A 21,407-nucleotide genomic window follows, 5' to 3' on the forward strand; every position below is an offset into this window, starting at 1 on the left:
TGAGGAAATAAGAACATGACAAGACGTTCTGAAGTCTCCGATGACTCCAGTTAAGGTTCTTTGAAATGCACGTGCTCTACTTTCTCTCCCGCTACCTGATGACTTTTTTCACAGTAGGCTGGAGAATAAGTTGGAAGAAGGCTTGGTCCCCTTGGCTTGGTGAGATCATGGTAAGCAGCAACTCTGACTGTTTGATGCTACACTGTGAAGAGCAGAACCTGAATTTTCAAAATGGAAAAGTTGCAGCAATTAAAAATTGTGCTGACAAGTTTTGTTTTTACAACAGTTGTCAGGGCTAGTGTTGATAAGGAAAACAATGACAGGATGAGTTGTGAATCTGCGCAGTGCTTTACTAGTGTTCAGGTGAGAGAGCTCCGTGGTCAAGGGAACTTTTAAGTTACAATATTTTCTTTATGGTTTCTAGCTTTCAGTATTATATCTACAAAGTCCACATGTAAGCCACAAGGATTTTTTTTTTTACTTTTACCTAGCTCTTTTATGTTTTAATTTTCACATTAATTCTTATGTGCTTCCAGGATTGGTTTTGAGGTGAGTTGTGACACAGGAGTCCAAACATAATGTTTTTTCTAAGTGGCCAGCAAATTATTTCAACACACAGTGTCTCCCTACGTTGTAAGTAGGTCCTGTGGGGCAGGAGCAATCTGTCATTTTCTTAGGGCCTAGCACAGCATGAAGTCTCAGATATTTGTTCGGTGAATGCCTGAATGAATCCGTGGAAGAGCTTCTTCCTCCTAGCACCTCATGGCTGCGTATGAACACTTATGACTTATAAATGCAAAGGTATACAGTAGCCTGGCAATTGACTCCCAGTTTAAAAAATAAGGCCAGAGGCAGTGGCTCATGCCTGTAATCCCAGCACTTTGGGAGGCTGAGGCAGGTAGATTGCCTGAGCTCAGGAGTTCGAGACCAGCCTAGGCAACATGGTGAAACCCTGTCTGTACTAAAAATACTAAATAAAAAAAATTAGCTGGGCATAGTGGCGGGTACTTGTAATCCCAGCTATCGGTTTCACTCGTGTCCACGTGAGGAGACCACCAAACAAGCTTTGTGTGAGCAACAAGGCTGTTTATTTCACCTGGGTGCAGGCGGGCTGAGTCCAAAAAGAGAGTCAGCGAAGGGAGATAGGAGTGGGGCCATTTTATAGGATTTAGGTAGGTAAAGGAAAATTACAGTCAAGAGGGGGTTGCTCTCTGGCGGGCAGAGGCAGGGGTCACAAGGTGCTCAGTGCGGGAGCTTTTGAGCCAGGATGAGCCAGGAGAAGGAATTTCACAAGGTAATGTCATCAGTTAAGGCAGGAACAGGCCATTTTCACTTCTTTTGTGATTCTTCAGTTACTTCAGGCCATCTGGATGTATATGTGCAGGTCACAGGGGATATGATGGCTTAGCTTGCGCTCAGAGGCCTGACACTCAGGAGGTTGAGACAGGAGAATCACTTGAACCCAGGAAGCAGAGGTTGCAGAGTGTCGAGATCGTGCCCTTGCACTCCAGCCTGGGCGACAGAGCAAGACTCCATCTCAAAAAAGAACAATATAATAAAAAATAAATCCCAGAATTATGTAAAGTGCTGATTTAAAAGGGTATTGTTTTACCATAGTCTCTAGGGCTCCTAGGATTTTTAAAGTGAAAATATAATCTAGAGTGACACAAAATTATTCTAAACTAAATGAGAGACAGCATGGTGTTGTGAAAATATTTAAAATCATCAAACTGCATGTCTGTCATTTACTTGCTATGTGATCTTGATTTATTCATTATAATCAGTTTTCTTGTCTCTGCAGTGAGAGTAACAGCACCCACTTTTCAGAGTAGCTCTGAGTTTCAGTGAGTTAACATCTGTAATTTACCTGAACGGTGCCTAGCAGGGAACAGACACTAAATTAATGTTTTTTCTTCTTCAACTCCTCCCTAAAGCCACATTCTAAAAATATATCCTTTCTTTCACGACTTGACAGCTTGAAACTCAAAAAAAAAAAAAAAAAAAAAAAGATTGTATATCTTGTGTGAGTACTGATATGTGGGCAATTTTCCATCATCAGAGTGTGGAGTACTTTTTAAGACTGTCTTTTAATGAATCAGATACACTGATTACAAAAGGACTGGTTGATTGCAATCCAGTTATTTTCCATGAGTAACTTCAATAATACAACAAACACGTACACTTTTTTTTATTTTTTTGAGACAGAGTCTTGCTCTGTCACCCAGGCTGGAGTGCAGTGGCGTGATCTTGGCTCACTGTAAGCTAAGCTCCAATTCCCAAGTTCATGCCATTCTCCTGCCTCAGCCTCCCAAGCAGCTGGGAATACAGGCGGCCACCACCACGCCCGGCTAATTTTTTGTATTTTTAGTACAGATGGGGTTTCACCATGTTAGCCAGGATGGTCTCAATCTCCTAACCTCATGATCCGCCCGCCTTGGCCTCCCAGAGTGCTGGGATTACAGGCGTGAGCCACCGCACCCAACCACAAGTACACTATTAACGAGCTAATGATGAGCTCTGCGTCAGGGCCAGGACTGAGGTGAGCAACTGCCTCATTTGCCTCGTGTGCAAAACTGAGAAGTCACCAAAAAATTCAGTCATTAAGATAAATAGTTAACATAATATTAAAATATCAAAATGAATGCAAAAAATTCATTATGAGCAAAATACCAACATTTCAAATGAAGACAAGCTCTGACAAGGCCAGGCTAGTGAGGAACTGATGCTCTCAGGTACCATGCTAAGCACTGCAGTGTATGCTAGATTAAAGCAGATGACATTGCTTTTTTTATTTAAATATTTTTATTTAAAAATGGTCACATATCTGCAATTTTATATTTTTCAACCTAAATATTTCCTTATTTAAACATATTTAATCTCTGCAGAAACCCTTCGTCTCAGGGATCATTTCATCATAAGACAGTAACTCCTTTAAACTAACTTCTAGTAAAAAATGAAGTAAACTTATAAAAATATAGGAGACAGCTGACTATCAGCCTCTTAAGTGTTTGGAACAGAGGACTGAGGCCCAGGAGCTGAGGTTTCTCATCTCAGCATCTCTCCAAGTGGCCACCCCTTTTTCTTAGTGTCTCTGCAAAGAGGCTTTTCTGATTACTCCTTTGTATGAGTCTCCATCATGATGGCTCCTAAAGGGCAGCCTTGGTTCCAGGAGTCTTTTTCCAGGGCCTACTTCAGCATCTCCCATTGAATAACCCATTTGTGGTGTCTCAGGTCAATTCCTGGAAAGGCAATGTGAGAGGCCAAGGCTACAAGGTGCCTCAATTCCTCCTGGTCAGGGTCCACTTTGGTTCTTCGGTACAGGAATGGGGGCTTCATGTTTAAAAAAAGAAAACCAGGACACAGGCCTGAATTGTCTAACGTCAATCAATAGGAAATCGGGAAGAAATGAGCTTGGTCAGACAGCCGGGTAGGTAGGGACTGGAACTCATTCTCATCTTATATTTAAGGAAAGAGAAAAGCAGAGTTCAGTAGCTTGCTGAAGTCACGGAGAAAAAATGGATTTGGGATGTGATGGGAGTCTAGTTTCTGTGTGACCTTCAGTGAGTTAATTAATAGTCTGACATCTTTGTAAACCAAAAATAAAATTCTTAGCCTCCAACCGACTAAAATGGACCCCTCTGTTAGCCAAGGGGGCCCAAAGAAACCTAAAAAGCTAGGTCAGGCCAGGACAGGAGGAGTTCAGGCACAAGCCACCAACATTAACACTGAAACAGAGATCATAACACTGACAAAACACAACCTTTGTAACAAGATACCACATTTCAACCCAACTCTAGTATAATATTACATGACAGATAAAGAAGGAAATCAAAATATTTTATCCCAAAATATGTCTCTTTGCCATATTTTGAAATGGCCCTGCAGAGCCATCTTTTGTGGGGCAAGATTTGCATCTATAAAGAATCTCCAGCTGGGCACAGTGGCTCAGGCCTGTAATCCCAACACTGTGGGAGGCTGAGGTGGGTGGATCACTTGAGGCTGGGAGTTTGAGGCCAGCCTGGCCAACATGGTGAAACCCTGTCTCTACTAAAAATACAGAAATTAGCCTGGCATGGTGGTGCCCCAGCTACTTGGGAGGTTGATGTGGGAGAATTGCTTGAACCCAGGAGGCAGAGGTTGCAGTGAGTCGAGATCACGCCACCGCACTCCACCCTGGACAACAGAGTGAGACCCCGTCTCGGAAAAAAAAAAAAGAACATCTATTAACATAGCTAGATCTTTCCCCTCCCAGGCCTTCCCAATCCTGAAGAGATTAACTGAGGGTCTAGCACCTTTTAAAGATCTGAATAGGAAATATTTACCATCTATTTTTCTCTAAGGGTGGCCACCTATTAGACCTCATCTACATAAGAAGAACCTTAGTCTCCACAACCTCTTATCTTAATCCAGACACTCCTTTCTATTGATTCTAAACCTTTGGATGGTAACTTAACCCTTTCAACCAATTGCCAATCAGAAAAACCTTTGAATCCACCTATGACCTGTAAGCCCCAACCACCTCCCACCCCCACCGCCACTTTGAGTTGTCCCGCCTTTCTGGACCGAACCAATGTATAACTTACATGTATTGATTGATGTCTTATGTCTTCCTAAATAATAAAACCAAGCTGTAGCCCGACTCCCTTGGGCACATGTTCTCAGGAGCTCTTGAGACTGTGCCTTGAGCCATGGTCACTCATATTTGGCCCAGAATTGCTGAGACCGGCTCGGTCAGGGAGACCCTAACCCAGCTGAGCTAGAGGAATTAAAGACACACACACAGAAATATAGAGGTGGGAAATCAGGGGTCTCACAGCCTTCAGAGCTGAGAGCCCCGAACAGAGATTTACCCACGTATTTATTAACAGCAAGCCAGTCATTAGCATTGTTTCTACAGATATTAAATTAACTAAAAGAATCCCTTATGGGAAAGGAAGGGATGGGCCGAATTAAAGGAAGAGGTTGGGCTAGTTAACTGCAGCAGGAGCATGTCCTTAAGGCACAGATCGCTCATGCTATTGTTTGTGGCTTAAGAATGCCTTTAAGTGGTTTTCTGCCCTGGGCGGGGCAAGTGTTCCTTGCCCTCATTCCCATAAACCCACAACCTTCCAGCATGGGCATTATGGCCATCATGAACATGTCATGGTGCTGCAGAGATCCTGTTTATGGCCAGTTTTGGGGCCAGTTTATGACCAGATTTTGGGGGGCTTGTTCCCAACACAAAATAAACTTCTTTAAATATTCTACAGAGTTTGGCTTTTTTCACCAACACCTCCATTTTCCTATAAAATGTGATAAAAATACTTCTTGAACCCCATGTATATGGAGAATAGATTTTTCAACAAAAGCACCAAAGCAGTCCAGTGGAGAAAGGAGAGCCGTGTGACAAATGGTACTGGGACTTTTAGATATACAAAAAAAAATGAACTTTGGTCCTTACCTTGCATTATATGTAAACATGAACTCAGAATGGTTCATAGACCTAAATGTAAAAGTTAAAACTATAAAACTTCTAGAATGAAACAGAAGCAAGTCTCTGTGACCTCGGGTTAGTCAAATATTTCTTGGCTAAGGCAACGAAAGCACAATCTGTAAAATAACAAATTAATAAATTGGATTTCAAAAGACACCGAAACAAAAATGAAAAGCCTTGCTACTGACTTGGAGAAAACATTTGCAAATCCCATACCCAGATGTATTTTCTGTGCCCAGTTAGTGATTTTATAAAGGGATACCAAGGCAGCATGGCCCAGTGGCTGAGACAATTCTGAAGCCAGACACCTGGGATTTGATCCCTGCCCTGCCACTTACCACTTATTAAGCACGTGACTTGAAGAAAGTCTCCTAATCTCTATGGCTTTCCTTTTCCCATTTAAAAATGGATAAAATAGTAATATCTAAACCTCTTCATTGGTTTCTATAAAGGTGAATTAATATTCTAAAGTGCATAGATCAATGTCTAGCACATAGTAGCCAAGACAGGTTTGTTAAATACATAAAACCAAGCAGGAGGAAGCCTGTCCCTACCATCCTCCTAGTGCTGGTACATTTTTCTCACCTTTCTTAATCTTGGGGGAGAATTGATTTTCTCATTCTGTCTTATTTAACATTTGAGCTCAATGTCTAACCTATAACTTTATATATGATTTATTTCCGTATACTTCTCATTTTATTTTTAAAAAACCCTATGATTTGATTTCAAAAGAAGTAAAAACAAATTAAATCTTGTTAACCTAAAACTTGCTTCTGCAACATCCCCACTGGGAATGATAATATAAATGCTTGTGCCTTGAGATGAGAATGTCATTGTTTGTTCCTTACTGTTGTATAGCCTGAAGATTAAATAAGTAAAATAAAAGTGGAATTAAGAAATATATCTTGTCTACTAGTCAAAGCAGTTCAGAAACTGTATTTCACTGTTACATCTAGATAGTTGAATTGTGTGCCTTTAAGCTATGAAATTTGGTTAAATTAACTTTAATGAAAAAAATCGGAATGCAATTCCATTTTTATGTTCTTCTTTAAATATGGTAAAACGTATTAATACAGCATTGAGATAACTTTGACCTATTAGAATGCAAATGACTCTAGATTGATCTAATGCCTCACATTTAGGGCTGGTTTTAAAGGTCTCTATGATTCCCATTTACAAATGAAACTTATTAATATGAGTTATAGATTCTTTTCCATTGTGTGCCAAGCAAGGAGAGAATCAAGCTTATTTGAATCATGCAGGCACATAGACTTTGGAATGATTAGGAGACCATGGCAAAAATTGTGAGTAATACATGTAGAGAAGTTTAAACTTTTCCTCTGGAGGTGTGATAACTGAGTTATCCTGCCAAAATACATTGACAATAGATAGATTAACAGGAGAAAAACACACACAGATTTGCTAATATGTACATGAAAATGCGAGCCCTATAAATATGAGACTCAAAGAAGGGCCATACAGCTGAGGCTTAAATAGCATTCTTTTTGTAGGGAAGAGGGGAGATTAGTGTGCAGGTAATTTTGAGGAATAGTAAAATGCTTTTCAGGAGAACTGAATGGGCCTGGGAGACAGAAATTAGTTTATAAATTATTCTCTTTGGAATTTGAACAGGACAAGTTATGGGAAGGTGAGGGGTGGAATTGCACTGAACAAAGGCTGTCACTATGCAGATAAAGTCTCTTAGGCAACCTCTTGCAGCTGCCCTCAGAAGAACAGATGAAAAACCTGACTGGGCATGGTGATGATTTTAGTCTTCTCTAGAAGGTATCAAAATCTTCTTATTTTGCCCCTTGCCAAGTACTTGTGAAGGGGTAGGCACTGGTTATGGCATGTGGAGTGTTATGGTATGGTGAGGAGCTGGATAGCAAGGGGGCTGAACATGTACTGATTTGATTAGCTTCATCTCTAAAGAGTCGTGTCTCAGATGGAGCAGCTTGCACTCAAGGTACTATGAAAATGAAGAGGTTATAAAAGTATTCTAAGGGTCTCTAAGCCTTGTCAGTCTCTGTTTTCTTTATGACAACCTATGGGTTGTTAAGTAGTTGGGATGGGGTCAGTATATGGGCAGAGGGAGGTGCCCTGGTGGAAGTACTAGATAGAGGATTTGGTATTGCATCTAGGATGCTAGAGTTCTTAGAGGTTAAAGGATTTTAATTTACCTAATAAAAGCTCAAAGTTTAATTTACTCAACATTTAACCAACAGATGTCTTCTATGCTGAACTAAGAAGCCTAAACTTTTCTCTGAAAGCAGTAAGAAGCCTTGTAGGGATTTTAAAGTAAAGGTGACAGGGTTAGATTTAAATTTTAAAAGATTGCTATGAAGGAAATGTGAGAGGGAATCAAAAAAATAGAAGCAGGGAGATCATTAAATTTTGTTACAATAGCGAAGGTGAGAAGTCATGATGATATGAATTCAAGAATTAAAGAGTTTTTAAGAAAATGGGTTCACAGAACTTAATTGTGGCAGGAGGGCATAGGTGGGGGGGTGGTAAGAAGGAAGTGTCAGGAGGGAATGATGCTGCTAGGCATTGGGAGGGGGAGCTCAGGGGCAGGAAGAGGATTTGGAAGAATGATGGATAGAATTGACAGGCTGAATCTTAGGTGTCTGAGAAAAATCCAAGTGGAAACAATTCAGAAGATGCATGAATATTCAAGTATGGGCGTGGAAGAAAAGTCTGGACTAGAAATATATATTTAAAAGTAAATAGGGCGGCCAGTTGCGGTGGCTCATTCCTTTATTTCCAGCACTTTGGGAGGCTGAGGCGGGCGGATCACGAGGTCAGGAGATCGAGACCATCCTGGCCAGTACGCTGAAACCCTGTCTCTATTAAAAATACAAAAATTAGCTGGGCATGGTGGCATGCACCTGTAATCCCAGCTACTTGCGAGGCTGAGGCAGGAGAATCGCTGGAATCTGGGAGTTGGAGGTTGCAGTGAGTCAAGATCGCCACTGCACTCCAGCCTGGCAACAAAGCAAGACTCCGTCTCAAAAAAAAAAAAAAAAGTACAGGGTATGAGTGATAATTAAAGTCACGCCTGTGAATTGGTGGAAAGATGTGAAACAGCCAACTCAGGGTCCGAAACGAAATAAGACAGACTCATGTTTCCTGACTTTACCATAACATTGCCTATTGCATCTTCAAGCACGAAGGGGAAAATATATATTTTTTATGGAGATACTTTGATCTTTCAAATTCTGGACCTGGGATGTGAAATGGCCATGGCCTTAGTTATTTTAACTGGCTAACTCATAGAATCCCTTTTCTGTGTTCCACAAATGTGCCACATTTTGTGCTATTCATATTCCTGTATCTAGTATATCCTCTTTCATTAATCTATTTTAGTGCAGTAATAGTTATATTTTCAGATCTAAGAACTAATTGCTTGACTTTGTTAATGGATAAAACAAACTGTAATATATTTTAAAGAGGTTTATTCTGAACCAATATGAGTGACTGAGGCCTGGAGAAAACACGCAACCAAGAAGGCTTGAGTAAGTGGTTCCGAGGTGGCCGGGTTGGTTTGGTTTTATACATTTCAGGGAGGCAGGAGTTACGGGCAAAGACATCAACACATGGAAGGTATACACTGGTTCGGTTCAGAAAGGGGGATTATCTTCAGGAGAGGTCTTATAGGTTGTAGGTGGACTTGGGGATTCTCTGGTTTGTGATTGGTTAAAGGAGTAAGGCCCTGTCTACAGCTTAGAGTTGACAGAAAGGAAGGTAAGAATGCTCTGTCAGAGTCAGCCACAATAAAATGCCCTGGTTAGCAAGCCTGATGGCCTGCAGGCCTGACTTACACCTGCCTTGCATGGCCTTAGGGCTTGTTCATAATTTGTTATCTTATGGCCACACGGGGTCTGTTCTGTCAGTCTTAGGATCTCTATTTTAACACCGCTGCTGGTTACTTGTTGAGTCCAAACTCCAAAACAGAGGAGGTATGATGAGGTGTGTCTGACCTCCCTTTCTTTCAGGGCCAGAAACAGCTTTTCAGTTTTCTCTGGGGTCCTCTTGGCCAAGAAGTTTCTGTTCAGTTGGTTGGGGGGCTTAGAATTTTATACGTAGTTTACAACCTAGCGTTGGTCTATATTATATGCTCAGGAAAGTTTCTGAAATAGCCCTGGACTGGTTGGGTGATCTGGGATATGGAAAATGGGCCTGTGTCCTGAATGATGCACTTGAAAATGGAATATAAGACTCTGTAAAACTCAAAGCATCTGTGAACACAAAATTCAATTGAGTTGATTTGCCGCAGGCTTTCTCCACTGCTAACAGTTACAATTCAATCTCAGTTATACATGGTGTCCAAAAGAAGCACATTGTGGTGACCAGCAGAAACCAAGTTTTGCTTGAAGAATAAAGGTTGCAATTTTGCAAAGGTCATGTGTTATATAAATTTTCAGTAAGATGAGATAGTTTTAAATATTTATGGCATGGACCTAAAATACACTTGCACTCTTTAGGATGAAGGAATCTATTAATTTGTTGGTAAGTGAGGAATTTAAATGGCCACTAATTTCTTGCACGAACAGCTCTGCACGTTTTTCTCCACGTGTTTGTAGCGTGTACCCTTATCGGTCAAGCAACACTGAGGGGTATTCTGTGAGCACATCTTTAGAATGATACATTAAAATTCTAGTAAATCTTAAGGCCTAGATGATATAAACTCTGAAGTCATCTTGCTCAACAGAAATTATCAATAAACCTTTTTATAGTTCACTAAAAATAAAGAACAGAGTTAATAATCTTGACATTTTTATTCCTGCAAGTTGAAAAAGTTCGTGTGTTTTTTCTCAATCTACTAAAGATCTAAATTATTTTGATATAGTTTCAGACTTACTTTGTAACTGAAAGTGATTTTTCTCATTTTTGTTGATAGAAATAAAAACATCAGTAGGAGGGGAAGGAGGAAGGAAGGAGAAGAAAGAGGAAGAATAGGAGGAGAAGAGGAAGAGAGGAAGAAGTCGTGAACAGCCCTCCTGCATTTTGCATCAGGTAGAAAAGTCAGTTGAATGTTGGGAAGAACACAAATAGTAAGTACATAGATTTTCATGTAATAAAAATACCCATTGTTATCAATGCAGGAATGTGCATTTTTTGAGTCACCATAAGATGACAGAGAGCCCCTGGGGCCACCCTTTGGTGTCTCCCAGCTTCCGATGGCAGTCAAGCTTGTAGCAGAGGGACCTGCGTCCCATGTGCCCCTCTTCTCCACACTGCCCTAGGCTTGGCTAAGGGAACGGTTGTTCTTCATGTTCCCAAGGGCAACTGTGCAAATGTTCCACGTGCCCTTCAGCATGGGGTGATTCTCCTACGCACAGAAGCAAACACAATGGTTTAAAACAGGGATAACTCAGTAGATTACCCCTGATCCGTCCAACTGTGCTTTATCGTTATCTTGTTACAGTTTCTGGGTGGAGCCTATTTTTCCAGCTTTTGGCTGCTCTGAGCCGAAGGATGGTAGTAGGGCAGGAGAAGGGGAATTGAATTAATATTTATCGAGGGCCTGACACGAGCCCAGCACTGTGAAGACACCCTCTACACCTGTTATCTTACTAAATCCTCAGTTCAATCCTTTGGGACAAGTGTCACGCTGTTTGCAAATGAGGAAACTAAAACTCATTAAAAATAAGCGACATGCGCAGATCGTGTAGATAATATAGAGTAAGGGTTTAAACTCTGGACTCTTTGGGACCAGTACCCATCCTCTTAACTGTTCCACACTTTCTTCCATGTAATGTAGAAATATTTGATTTATTAATAATGTATTCCTTTACAACTTCTGAATGGGATCTGAGATAAATATATTCATATGCCCTATATATGATAGTTAAGTATAAGGTGAAAATAGGGAACCATTTAGACAAAAGAGAAGATGATTACGTATGAGGCTAACATAGTAAGATCATGAAAATTAAGTTAGTTTCTCATCTCCAGTTAGACAAGAGGAAGGGAGGTGTGGCAGGTCCCTGGCTTTCCCCATTTCTCAGGGCAGACCTTGGGTTGTGATCTGATCTCACGTGGTTCTCCAAGACCTTCAGGGAAGACTTTGTTCTGTTTTGTTAAGTTTGAGGTTATTTCTTAATTTGTTTGTCATTTTGCTGATTAAGAAGCATAACAGAAATTTATTCTACAGAAAAGGAAACTGATTAAGAAAATGCAGTGCTTTTATCAGGGGCTTTCCAGGATAGATGAATAGATACTGTATATTTATTATTTCAACTCGTGAAAAAAATTCAGGGACATGTTATTAAATTGTAGTTTCTTGAAAATCTTTTAACAGTAAATAAATCTAATGCAGACCAAGTACTTTGCCATTCAGTGGTCTAACAATAAAAAGAGACAACCTAAAGAATATCTGGCTTGTGTGTTCCTTAGGTCAACATGTGTAAATAACTAGCAGGTTGGAGGCATTATGTTTCACTTCCACGCAACCTGTTGCATTTTGCAGGGGTCAATGATTTAGGCACCAATGCCCCTGTGTTTTTTAAAGGGACAAAATACAACCACAATTTCCCTGAACTATGGATTTTAGACTCTAGTTACATATGGGCTAATTTAAATATTCCAAGTAAAGCATATAAGAAAATATAGTCAAAATAGCATGATAATAATTTGACAAGTAAACATTATCGCACTTTCTAAAGCATCCATCTGTATGACAAATTATATGGTCCACCCTATTTATCAGGTCCACCCTAATAACAACCCTCTCTTGAAGGATTATATTACCCTGGTCTTTCAAATGAGGAAATTAACAGTATTGAGATCCCAACCAAAAGGTCTGGCTTCAGAGCTGGCGTGCTTAGTCACTGTACTGTATGGCCACTCTGCATTCTAGTTTTATTATTATGATCTGGTTGTAAGTGAGTTTACAAGAGACAAGGGGAGAAGAGTAGGCATAAAATAGAAGCCACGATCTAGAATCACTCATTCAAAATATATAGTTACTATTTCCCCCTTTCCACAGTCACTTAGAAGGCACTCCTGATACATTTTAAACCTAAGTCTTAGAATAGTATTAGATTCCTGAGAAAATGACAGCTTTTCCTCTTTGATAAAAAGTCTTGTATTAATTACGTGTCCCCTTTGCTTTGACTGTTATAATAAAGTCTTATATCTTAAAGACGTCCACAATGCCAGCCCTCCACAAGTCTCACCTTCAGCATTTTCTTACTATTCCAGTTTACATTATTTCCTGCTCCTAATTTTTAAGCTTAAATTATTTAGCCATTTTTATGTGGTTATCCATCTGGTCAAGTGACTTGGAAATGGGGCAACAAAATAGAATGATAGATTGGTTTGCATAGGAAAACAGACAGAAAAGGAACGACAGCAATACAGGACCAGATGGATGCTTCCCAGAAGCAAAGAACAGGGGCCTGCGCTTACAGGAGTATGTGGGCACTGATGGATGAGGTTCTTTATGCCTTCCGAAAGAGGAGCCAAGCCACTGATGAGTGAGGTGACTAAGAGCTCTCATGCTCTTAGTGAGCTAAGGTCCACCTGCTGCTAAGATTACCTCAAAATACTAAGCTTAAGGTAAAACTCCAGTTTTAGAATCATTTAAAAAATAATTTGGTTAAGGATGAGCTGTGAAATAATTAATTCAAATGCTGCTAACTGAGCACTTCAGTTAGTGCTCCTCAAAGCTGTGAGAAATAGGCTTATGCTCAGTTCCTCCTGAGTGCTGTAAAAGGAACATAAAATCTCTGGACCCCAAACTCACTAAGCTGAAGGGAACAGTCAAGCTGAGAACTGGGTCATGCCAACCAGCCTCCCATTTTGTTCCTAAATAAGACAGCTACAGATCTAAAAGGATACATGCCTCTCTCACAATTTGCTCAAAACGAAATTCTTTGTGGGTCCCAAGATCTTTACCCTAAAACAGTTCTGTTGAATTTCACCCAGAAAATGCAAGAGAACAGCTATCTTCACAGATCCCGGAACAAAGGACAAAGGATAGAACTAAAAGCGCCCCCCACCCGCCGCCCGGCACCAAAGGAGTCATATCTGATTACTTCCTTTGGAAAGGCTAATCAGAAACTGAAAAGAATGTAACTGTTTGTGTCTCACCTATCTGTGACCTGGAAGCTCCCTCCCAGCTTTGAGTCTTCCTGCCTTTGCTTCCAGTTGTTCTGCCTTTCCAGACCCAACCAATGTACTTCTTATATCTATTGATTGATGTCTCATGTCTCCCTAAATGTAAAAATCAAGCTGTGCCCCAACTGCCTTGGGCACATGCTATCAGGACCTCCTGAGGCTGTGTCATGGATGCGTCCTCAACCTTGGCAAAATAAACTTTCTAAATTAACTGAGACCTGTCTCAGATTTTCTGGGTTCACAAATGCATATCTGATTACTTCCTCTACTTTATGTTTATTTTATCTTATGTAAAAATGCAGATTCACTGAGTGTGAGATGAATGCATAATTGACTATTTCTCTACCCCTTCCTTTGACATGTGAAATGTGGATTCAGTGCACACTGATCAAAGACTCAACAGAATGCAACTGCCTGCCCCTTTTATCTACCCTCCCCCTTTTTTCTTTTCTTCCTCTTTCTCCTACTGCCTGCTCTTTCCCATTAAATACTAAAATTCGCAGGCCCTCTTCGGAAAAAGCATGGATCACAGATTGTTCTTGTGGTTTTGTGTTCCTTTTTCCCGGGTGCGTTCTTAACCTTGTCAAAATAAACCTCTAACATGATTGAGACGCTCCTCAGTCATTTTGTTTGACTGTCAGTGGTGAAGGTTTGTTGCATGAGTCAACTTCTGTCTCACTCTGAGTCTTCTTCTGGCTGCTTTCAGTGCCAACACAAAGTGCTCCCTCTAACTCCTTGACATTTCTTCTGTCATCACTATCTCTAGGATTTCTGTTTATTGCTTTTGTTATGGCCACCGTCAGCTTTCAGGCATGCAAATCCCCAGTTTCTTCTCTATGTGGTTTATATTTAAGGTGAACAAGGGAGTCTCATGGGTCGGAAAGTCACCGTCTGATATGATCCAGACCTTTGGCTGCCCGTGGTTAATGAGTAACCTGGTGAGAAATAGTGGCAATGAGAATGCCATATGAGCTTAATAAAAAGTCTGGGGTGATACACCCAAGGATTTGCTTCTAATTGCATTTACCAGACAGGGCAGTGTTGAGTGCAGACAACTTTAAAAGGGGCAATTACCCAGCCTGCTAAACCTGCTATAGGTAAAGGAGTGTGCTGGGCAAGGTGCCAGAACATTGTATAAAATGATCATTATAGATTAAAGAAACACAGGCATACCTAGGGCCGTGGGCATTTGATACATCAGATCTAAAAGAATAATACATATGCTTCAGACCAGTTGTAAGAAAATTTACTTTTCTGTATAGCAGGGTCTAAAGTGCATTTCTAGGAGGCACAGATGCCTCACCAGAAAACTAAAGAAGTTCTGAAAAAAAGCTAATATGATACTTGAGAGCATGTCTGTTTCCATCTCATCTAAGTCACAGGAAGAGGAAACGGCCGCATTTACGAAAGTGTGAATTGGAAGCCCCTGGAAAATGTGACTGGATGGGATGAAACACTTGTGTGACACTTTAATAATGGGTATTGGCTAGCTCCTCATTATTTTCCACTGCAGTAAAGTGCGGCATGCAGCAAGATGTCAGTGTAGCATTTACCTATGCAGTGCCACTCTGCTGCAGAGTTTTAAGGATTGAAGATAAGGAAGTGCTACCCGAAAGCTGGCAAATACACCACACATTGAAAGATAAAGAAAGTTGACTTTTGCTGAGTACCTGCTTTGTGCTAGGCACTGGTTTCCAAATTTTGCTGCACAATGGAATCATCTTGGATCTTTAAAAACTGTTGATGCCTGGTTCCCATGCCTAATATTTTGACTTCATGGATGTTGCGTGCAATGTGGACGCTGTGTTTCTAAAAGCTTCCCACTTCATTCTAATGTGCAGCAGTTTGGGAATCACCCTACCAGACTATTACATTTCTTTTTTTTTTTTTCCTTCCTTCCTTCCTTCCTTCCTTCCTTCCTTCCTCCCTCTCTCCCTCCCTCCTTCCTTCCTTCCCTCCTTCCTTTCTTTCTTGATGGAGTTTCGCTCCTGTTGCACAGGCTGGAGTGGAATGGCACAATCTCAGCTCACCACAACCTCCGCCTCCTGGGTTCAAACGATTCTCCTGCCTCAGCCTCCTGAGTAGCTGGGATTACAGGCATATGCCACCATGCCCGGCTAATTTTCTATTTTTAGTAGAGATGGGGTTTCTCCATGTTGGTCAGGCTGGTCTCAAACTCTCGACCTCAGGTGATCTGCCCACCTCAGCCTCCCAAAGTGCTGGGATTACAGGCGTGAACCACTGTGCCTGGCCCAAACCATTCCATTTCTACTCATTATCTCACTTAAGCCACAGTGAAGCCTGTTGTTACCGATGAGGTCATAGAGGCTAGATGACCCCAGAAAACTTGCCTAGTTTTGGGTAGTGGAATAGACTAAAATCTGATCCTGTGGCTGTAAAACTCTGAAGCTTGGGTTCTTCTCACTCTTCCACACTGGTAGAATTCATGCACTGTAAGGAAAGAAAGGTTTTCTCTTTAATTTTCCCTGTGCTGGTAGCTAGCAGAGAATTGTAATTCATTTAGTAGAGGAAAAAAACCATATATATACTGGGCTATTTTATTAAGGATTGGGTTTTGGTTAAGATCAGACAATGAAACCTATTATAAATTTCCAAAGATATGCAGGTCAGACCATGCTACACCATGTTTCTGGGAGCCCAGAATGCAGAAACAAACATCAAAGTTCTCTTGTAATTTCATGGAAATATTTCATGTTCAAATTGTATTAATTTCAAAAGGTTAGAGTAGAAAATGAGAAGTATACACTTCATTAATTCTCAAGTTCTACATTTGCCAGAAACTTATCTCACCTTCATTAAAAAAAACTCTTATTACTTGATTTCAGAACACTTATAAAACATACTATGGGCCAGGCAAGGGGGCTCACGCCTGTAATCCCAGCACTTTGGGAGGCCGAGGCCGGCAGATCATGAGGTCGGGTGATCGAGACCATCCTGGCTAACACGGTGAAACCCCGTCTCTACTAAAAATACAAAAAATTAGCCAGGCGTGGTGGTGGGTGCCTGTAATCCCAGCTACTCAGGAGGCTGAGGCAGGAGAATCACTTGAACAAGCGAAAACGCCCGGGCGCTGTGGCTCACACCTGTAATCCCAGCACTTTGGGAGGCGGAGGTCACAAGGTCAGGAGATTTATCGAGAACATTCTGGCTAACACAGTGAAACCCCGTCTCTACTAAAAACACAAAAAATTAGCCGGGTGTGGTGGCGAGCACCTGTAATCACAGCTACTCAGGCGGCTGAGGCTGGAGAATCGTGTGAACCCAGGAGGCAGAGGTTGCGGTGAGTGGAGATTGCGCCACTGCACTCCAGCCTGGGTGACAGAGCGAGACTCTGTCTCAAAAAAAAGAAAAAAAACTTGTCTTAGGATAAATTCCTGGTAGTGAGATATTAGTTAAAGGAAGATGAAATTTTTATAAATTATATAGCATCTGTATGTTACTTTCTGAATGCACCCATTAGGTTACAAGGTCACAAGTAGCACATGATGCATCCCGTTCTCCACAGGACTGCCAGGAAAGGCTTATCTTTTCAGAGAGATTTTATTAGTAATTAGACATAAAATGGTGCTTTGAACTACTGTAACTTGCATGTCTATGGTTATTAGATAGATAAAATTTTTCCCACTTTTTAAACTATTTACATTATCTCATATGTGATCTTGACAATAGAGTTTTTTCCTTTTGTTTTTTACTGCTCTTGAATTTCCTCCTATTTTTTGAAATAACTTACTTAATATAGAGAGTTGTCTTCATGATGGTAGTATTATTCACAATATTTCCCAACTTCGTTGTGTTCCTTATATAGCTCTAGTCTTCTTATGCAGATATTTTCATTTGTATGCATTTAATTTTTTAAAGAATATCTTCTATTGCTTATAATCTGTGAAAGTTTGTATTTCTTTATCTCTGCTTAGACCTAGTGACTCCCTCATTTTATTATCTGTGAGCTTTTCTCTCCATTAGGTTAGCACAGCCTTCTATAATCTGACCTTATCACACCTTACAGAAGCATCATTTGACACACTTCAACTCAGCACCTCAGATCTATTTGGCCCATCCCTTTTCTTCCACACAAACATACCATGTTCATTTATGCCTTGGGGCATTTGGCCTGTCTTAGATGCCTGCCCATTCTTATTTCCTCTACCCATTCAAAGTCTACCTATCAGGGGGACAGATGCCTTGATTACACTCCTCCCCTTGATTTACTTAGTCACATGAACTCCTATAACCTCCTATAACTTGCATAGTCAATATTTATTTATTTATTTATTTATATATTTTTTTATTTTTTTGATATGGAGTCTCACTCTGTCACCAGGCTGGAGTGCAGTGGCATGATCTCAGCTCACTGCAAGCTCTGCCTCCCAGGTTCATGCCATTCTCCTGCCTCAGTCTCCCAAGTAGCTGGGACTGCAGGTGCACGCCACCACGCCCAGCTAATTTTTTGTATTTTTAGTAGAGACAGGGTTTCACCATGTTAGCCAGCATGGTCTCGATCTCCTGACCTCGTGATCTGCACGTCTCAGCCTCCCAAAGTGCTGGAATTACAGGTGTGAGCCACTGCTCCTGTCCCATAGTCAATATTTATAATTTGGCAATTACCTGTAATTACGTAGTCTCTTGTACGTATTTCAAATGTGTTAGCCTTCTCTTCTTAGACAAACTGTGATAATTAAGACATATTTCAGTGGTCTTTATAGCAGCTCTGATGACTGTTGAAATACATTTTTGAGTACCCTACATACTCACTGCATATTTAATTGGTTAAGAATTAAATAAAGAAGTGAATTTTTATCTGCAACTCAGTGGGTCAGGCCCATTGAACTCCAAGTGTCTCCAAGTCCTCATCACCTGCCTTTGAGTGACATGACTCACTCAAAGGCAGGTGATAAGAAACAAGAAAACTGGAACTCATACTTTCAGAGATTTTCCTGCCTCGGATGTGAAGTCTCTTGGCTACTGGAGTCTGGAAGACGACTTCTAAACTGATTCTGACAGGATTGTAACTTGAAACCCTATTATATTCAGTTTCCCTCACTGGTCTCTTTACCCACTCCACACTAGGTGGTACCAGTACTGAGAACTAATTCCCTTCTAAATTCTAAACTCTAAACTGTGTCCACTTTCATCTCACTTATCCTGCCAGTCCCTCCACTCCCTTTCAAGTTTCCCCCTCAAAGCTTCAATCTGTTCTCTTTGGTTCTGATCGTGTTCATCAGCACTCTCCACATGCTTCAACCCATAACACTCCAACTTTCAAACTGGATCAAAACAACCATGACTTTTCCCGTTCCTGTCCCTGGGCTATAGAGTGTTGCCACAAGAATTCACCCACCAAGTGAGGTTGGTCTCATGATTTACAGCCACGGGAGCAGCTTTGCAGAACTTCCAGCATCCTCTTCCATTTCTCCTATGGCTCTACCAAATCTTCACCACCCCTCAGAAGATTTTGCCTTTCATTCACAAAGAAAATTTGATTATCAGCCAGAAAGTCTCTCCATTGTCATGCTCTAAAACAACCAACCACATCAAGATATTACCCATATTTGCATGCAATCACGCTCACGTTCTTGTCTTCTAACCTGAGAAGGCTTGGAGGGAAAAACCCTTCTGCTCAAAGGCAGTCCATCCTCACATTGTTTACTCAGTCATAATCAAGATGCTGTCCAATTATTAACATCAGTCTTCCCTTTCATATATTTTTAATCTTTTCAATTTATAAACATGATCAACATTTTTTCCTGTGAAGAGAAAAACCAATTCTACATTTCAGACCTTGCTTTCTATCCACCCACTCTCTCCCTCAGCCACGGCCATTACCTCTTCAAGGCCAAACTTCTCCAAAAAAAAAGTCTTCCATCACTTCCTTGTTAGGTCTCCACCCACTTCCTTGGGTCTACGCACTCTTATAAACATTGAAGCCGTCAATTCCTCAGTAGTCAGATCCGAGCTCATCTGACTCTGGAATTTTCAGGTGTTAAGCCTTTCATCTTGTAACCCTGTCTTTCCCTGGCTTCCATGATACCGTTTTTCCACACCCTCTTCTAAGGTCTCTGAATGTGCCTCCTTGGTCTCCATTGCTAACCATTCTTCCTGCCTGCTTCTTGAATGTGATGTCTCTCATGTTCCATCCTTGAGCTTATTTTTCACAATGTATTCTTCTGAGTAATGTAAACCAGTGGTTTCCAATTTTAATGTACATATAAATTATCTGAGAATCTTAAAATGCATATTCTTATTCAATAGGTCTGGGATGAAGGATGAAATCGTGCATTTCAAACAAGCTTTCAAATGATGTCCATGCTCCTGGGCCATACACCACACTTTGAATAGTGAGGATCTAAACTACTTATTGGTCTCAGTTGGCGATAACCCCAAATCTCTGGCCAGTTCTATCTCCTGGGCAAATGCTATACAAATAGTTAAGCACCAAAGACAAACATCTCAAAAACAGATATGCAAAACTGAACTCATTTTCTCTGTTTCCTCAATCAAATAATTTGCAGACATCCCTGTTTTAATAAATGGCATTATGTCCCTTCAGTTATGTAAGTCAGACGTGGAGTTACCCTGAGCTTTTTTTTCACTATCTCTCCTGCCACTCATCCTCTACCTCGATATTCAGTTAATAAGAAAGTACTGGCTGGGCGCGGTGGCTCACGCCTGTAATCCCACCACTTTGGGAGGCCGAGGCGGGTGGATCATGAGGTCAGGAGTTCGAGACCAGCATGGGCAATATGGTGAAACCCCGTCTCTACTAAAAATACAAAAGTTAGCCGGGCGTGGTGGTGTGCGACTGTAGTCCCAGCTGCTCGGGAGGCTGAGGCAGGAGAATTGCTTGAACCCAGGAGACAGAGGTTGCAGTGAGCTGAGATCGTGCCACTGCACTCCAGCCTGGGTGACAGAGCAAGACTCCGTCTCAAAAAAAAAAAAAAAAAAAAGAAAGTACTGCTTACTCTACCTTCTTAACATCTCTCAAACTCATGGACGACTCTTTATCCCAGGCTGCTGCCTTAATTAACAACATCAATATCTATTTTATGAATCATTTACAACAATTTGCAAACTCGTTTTCTTGCCTTTACCATTGCTCCTCTCCAGACTCTCTACATTAGGAATATGTTTTTGAAAAATGAAAGCGTGACAAAGTCACTGTTTCAGGACAGTGTATCCAGCAAGTGATGAAGGAAGGCATCAGGCAAGAGGCACTGGAGCTTGAGTGGGTCATTTTTGGACACATGAACCAAGAGAGGCAGAGGGAGTGTAATGGTTTCCATTTCATCCCTGTGGCTCCACAGGACAAACCCCAAAACCCTTAACACAGACCACAAAGCCCTTGAAATCTTCTGTTTGCTAAACCTTCCTTCTTACAACCTAAACTTTTGGCATGCTTAGAGCTCCCAAGGTCCCTGTGCTCATCAGTCAACTCCTCTGTAAAGTGTCTTCTTATTGGCTCTTCTATTGGAATTTGCGCTATCTGCCATACTTCTCCAGCCAATTAGCCTTTTTAACACTGTTGTTATAAAAACTGTGGAAGAGGAAATTAGTACAGAGAAAAGCAACAGGCTAGCAAAAATCAGGGGCTCAGGGAGGAAGTCAGGGGCTCATCTTTCTAACCCCAATTAGAATCAGCACATTTAAGAACACTTGTGAATAGAAACTCTAGATTGCAGCCATTCATTAAAAACCCTTCATTTTACATATGGTAATCTGAGACTTCATAAATGACTTGTAACTTCCAAGATTCCAAATCTAATCAGTCCCACATAGGACTTTTCACCTCCAG

The 21,407-nt window shown here is 41.0% G+C and overlaps 1 long non-coding RNA gene across 3 annotated transcripts in view, besides 1 other annotated feature; it reads left to right on the top strand.

Moving 5' to 3' along the window:
* Positions 1-21,407, top strand: part of LOC124902157 (uncharacterized) — a 49,126-nt gene that overhangs the window by 4,929 nt on the left and 22,790 nt on the right. For 2 of the 3 annotated variants that reach the window (XR_007061491.1, XR_007061492.1), the window contains exon 3: positions 10,374-10,527. This is a non-coding gene — a long non-coding RNA (uncharacterized LOC124902157). Of the gene's footprint in view, positions 1-10,373; positions 10,528-13,405; positions 13,810-21,407 lie in introns of those variants that run through there. The other variant, XR_007061493.1, reaches the window with a different exon arrangement.
* Positions 13,222-13,769: an enhancer, noted in NCBI's record as "OCT4-NANOG hESC enhancer chr9:40134136-40134683 (GRCh37/hg19 assembly coordinates)". NCBI's record gives its function as "activates a minimal SCP1, AML or CMV promoter by ChIP-STARR-seq in primed H9 embryonic stem cells {active_cell/tissue: H9 hESC(primed)}" and the evidence as "EXISTENCE:reporter gene assay evidence [ECO:0000049][PMID:30033119]".

Source organism: Homo sapiens, chromosome 9 (genome assembly GCF_000001405.40).
Source record: "Homo sapiens chromosome 9, GRCh38.p14 Primary Assembly".
Lineage (NCBI taxonomy): Eukaryota > Metazoa > Chordata > Mammalia > Primates > Hominidae > Homo > Homo sapiens.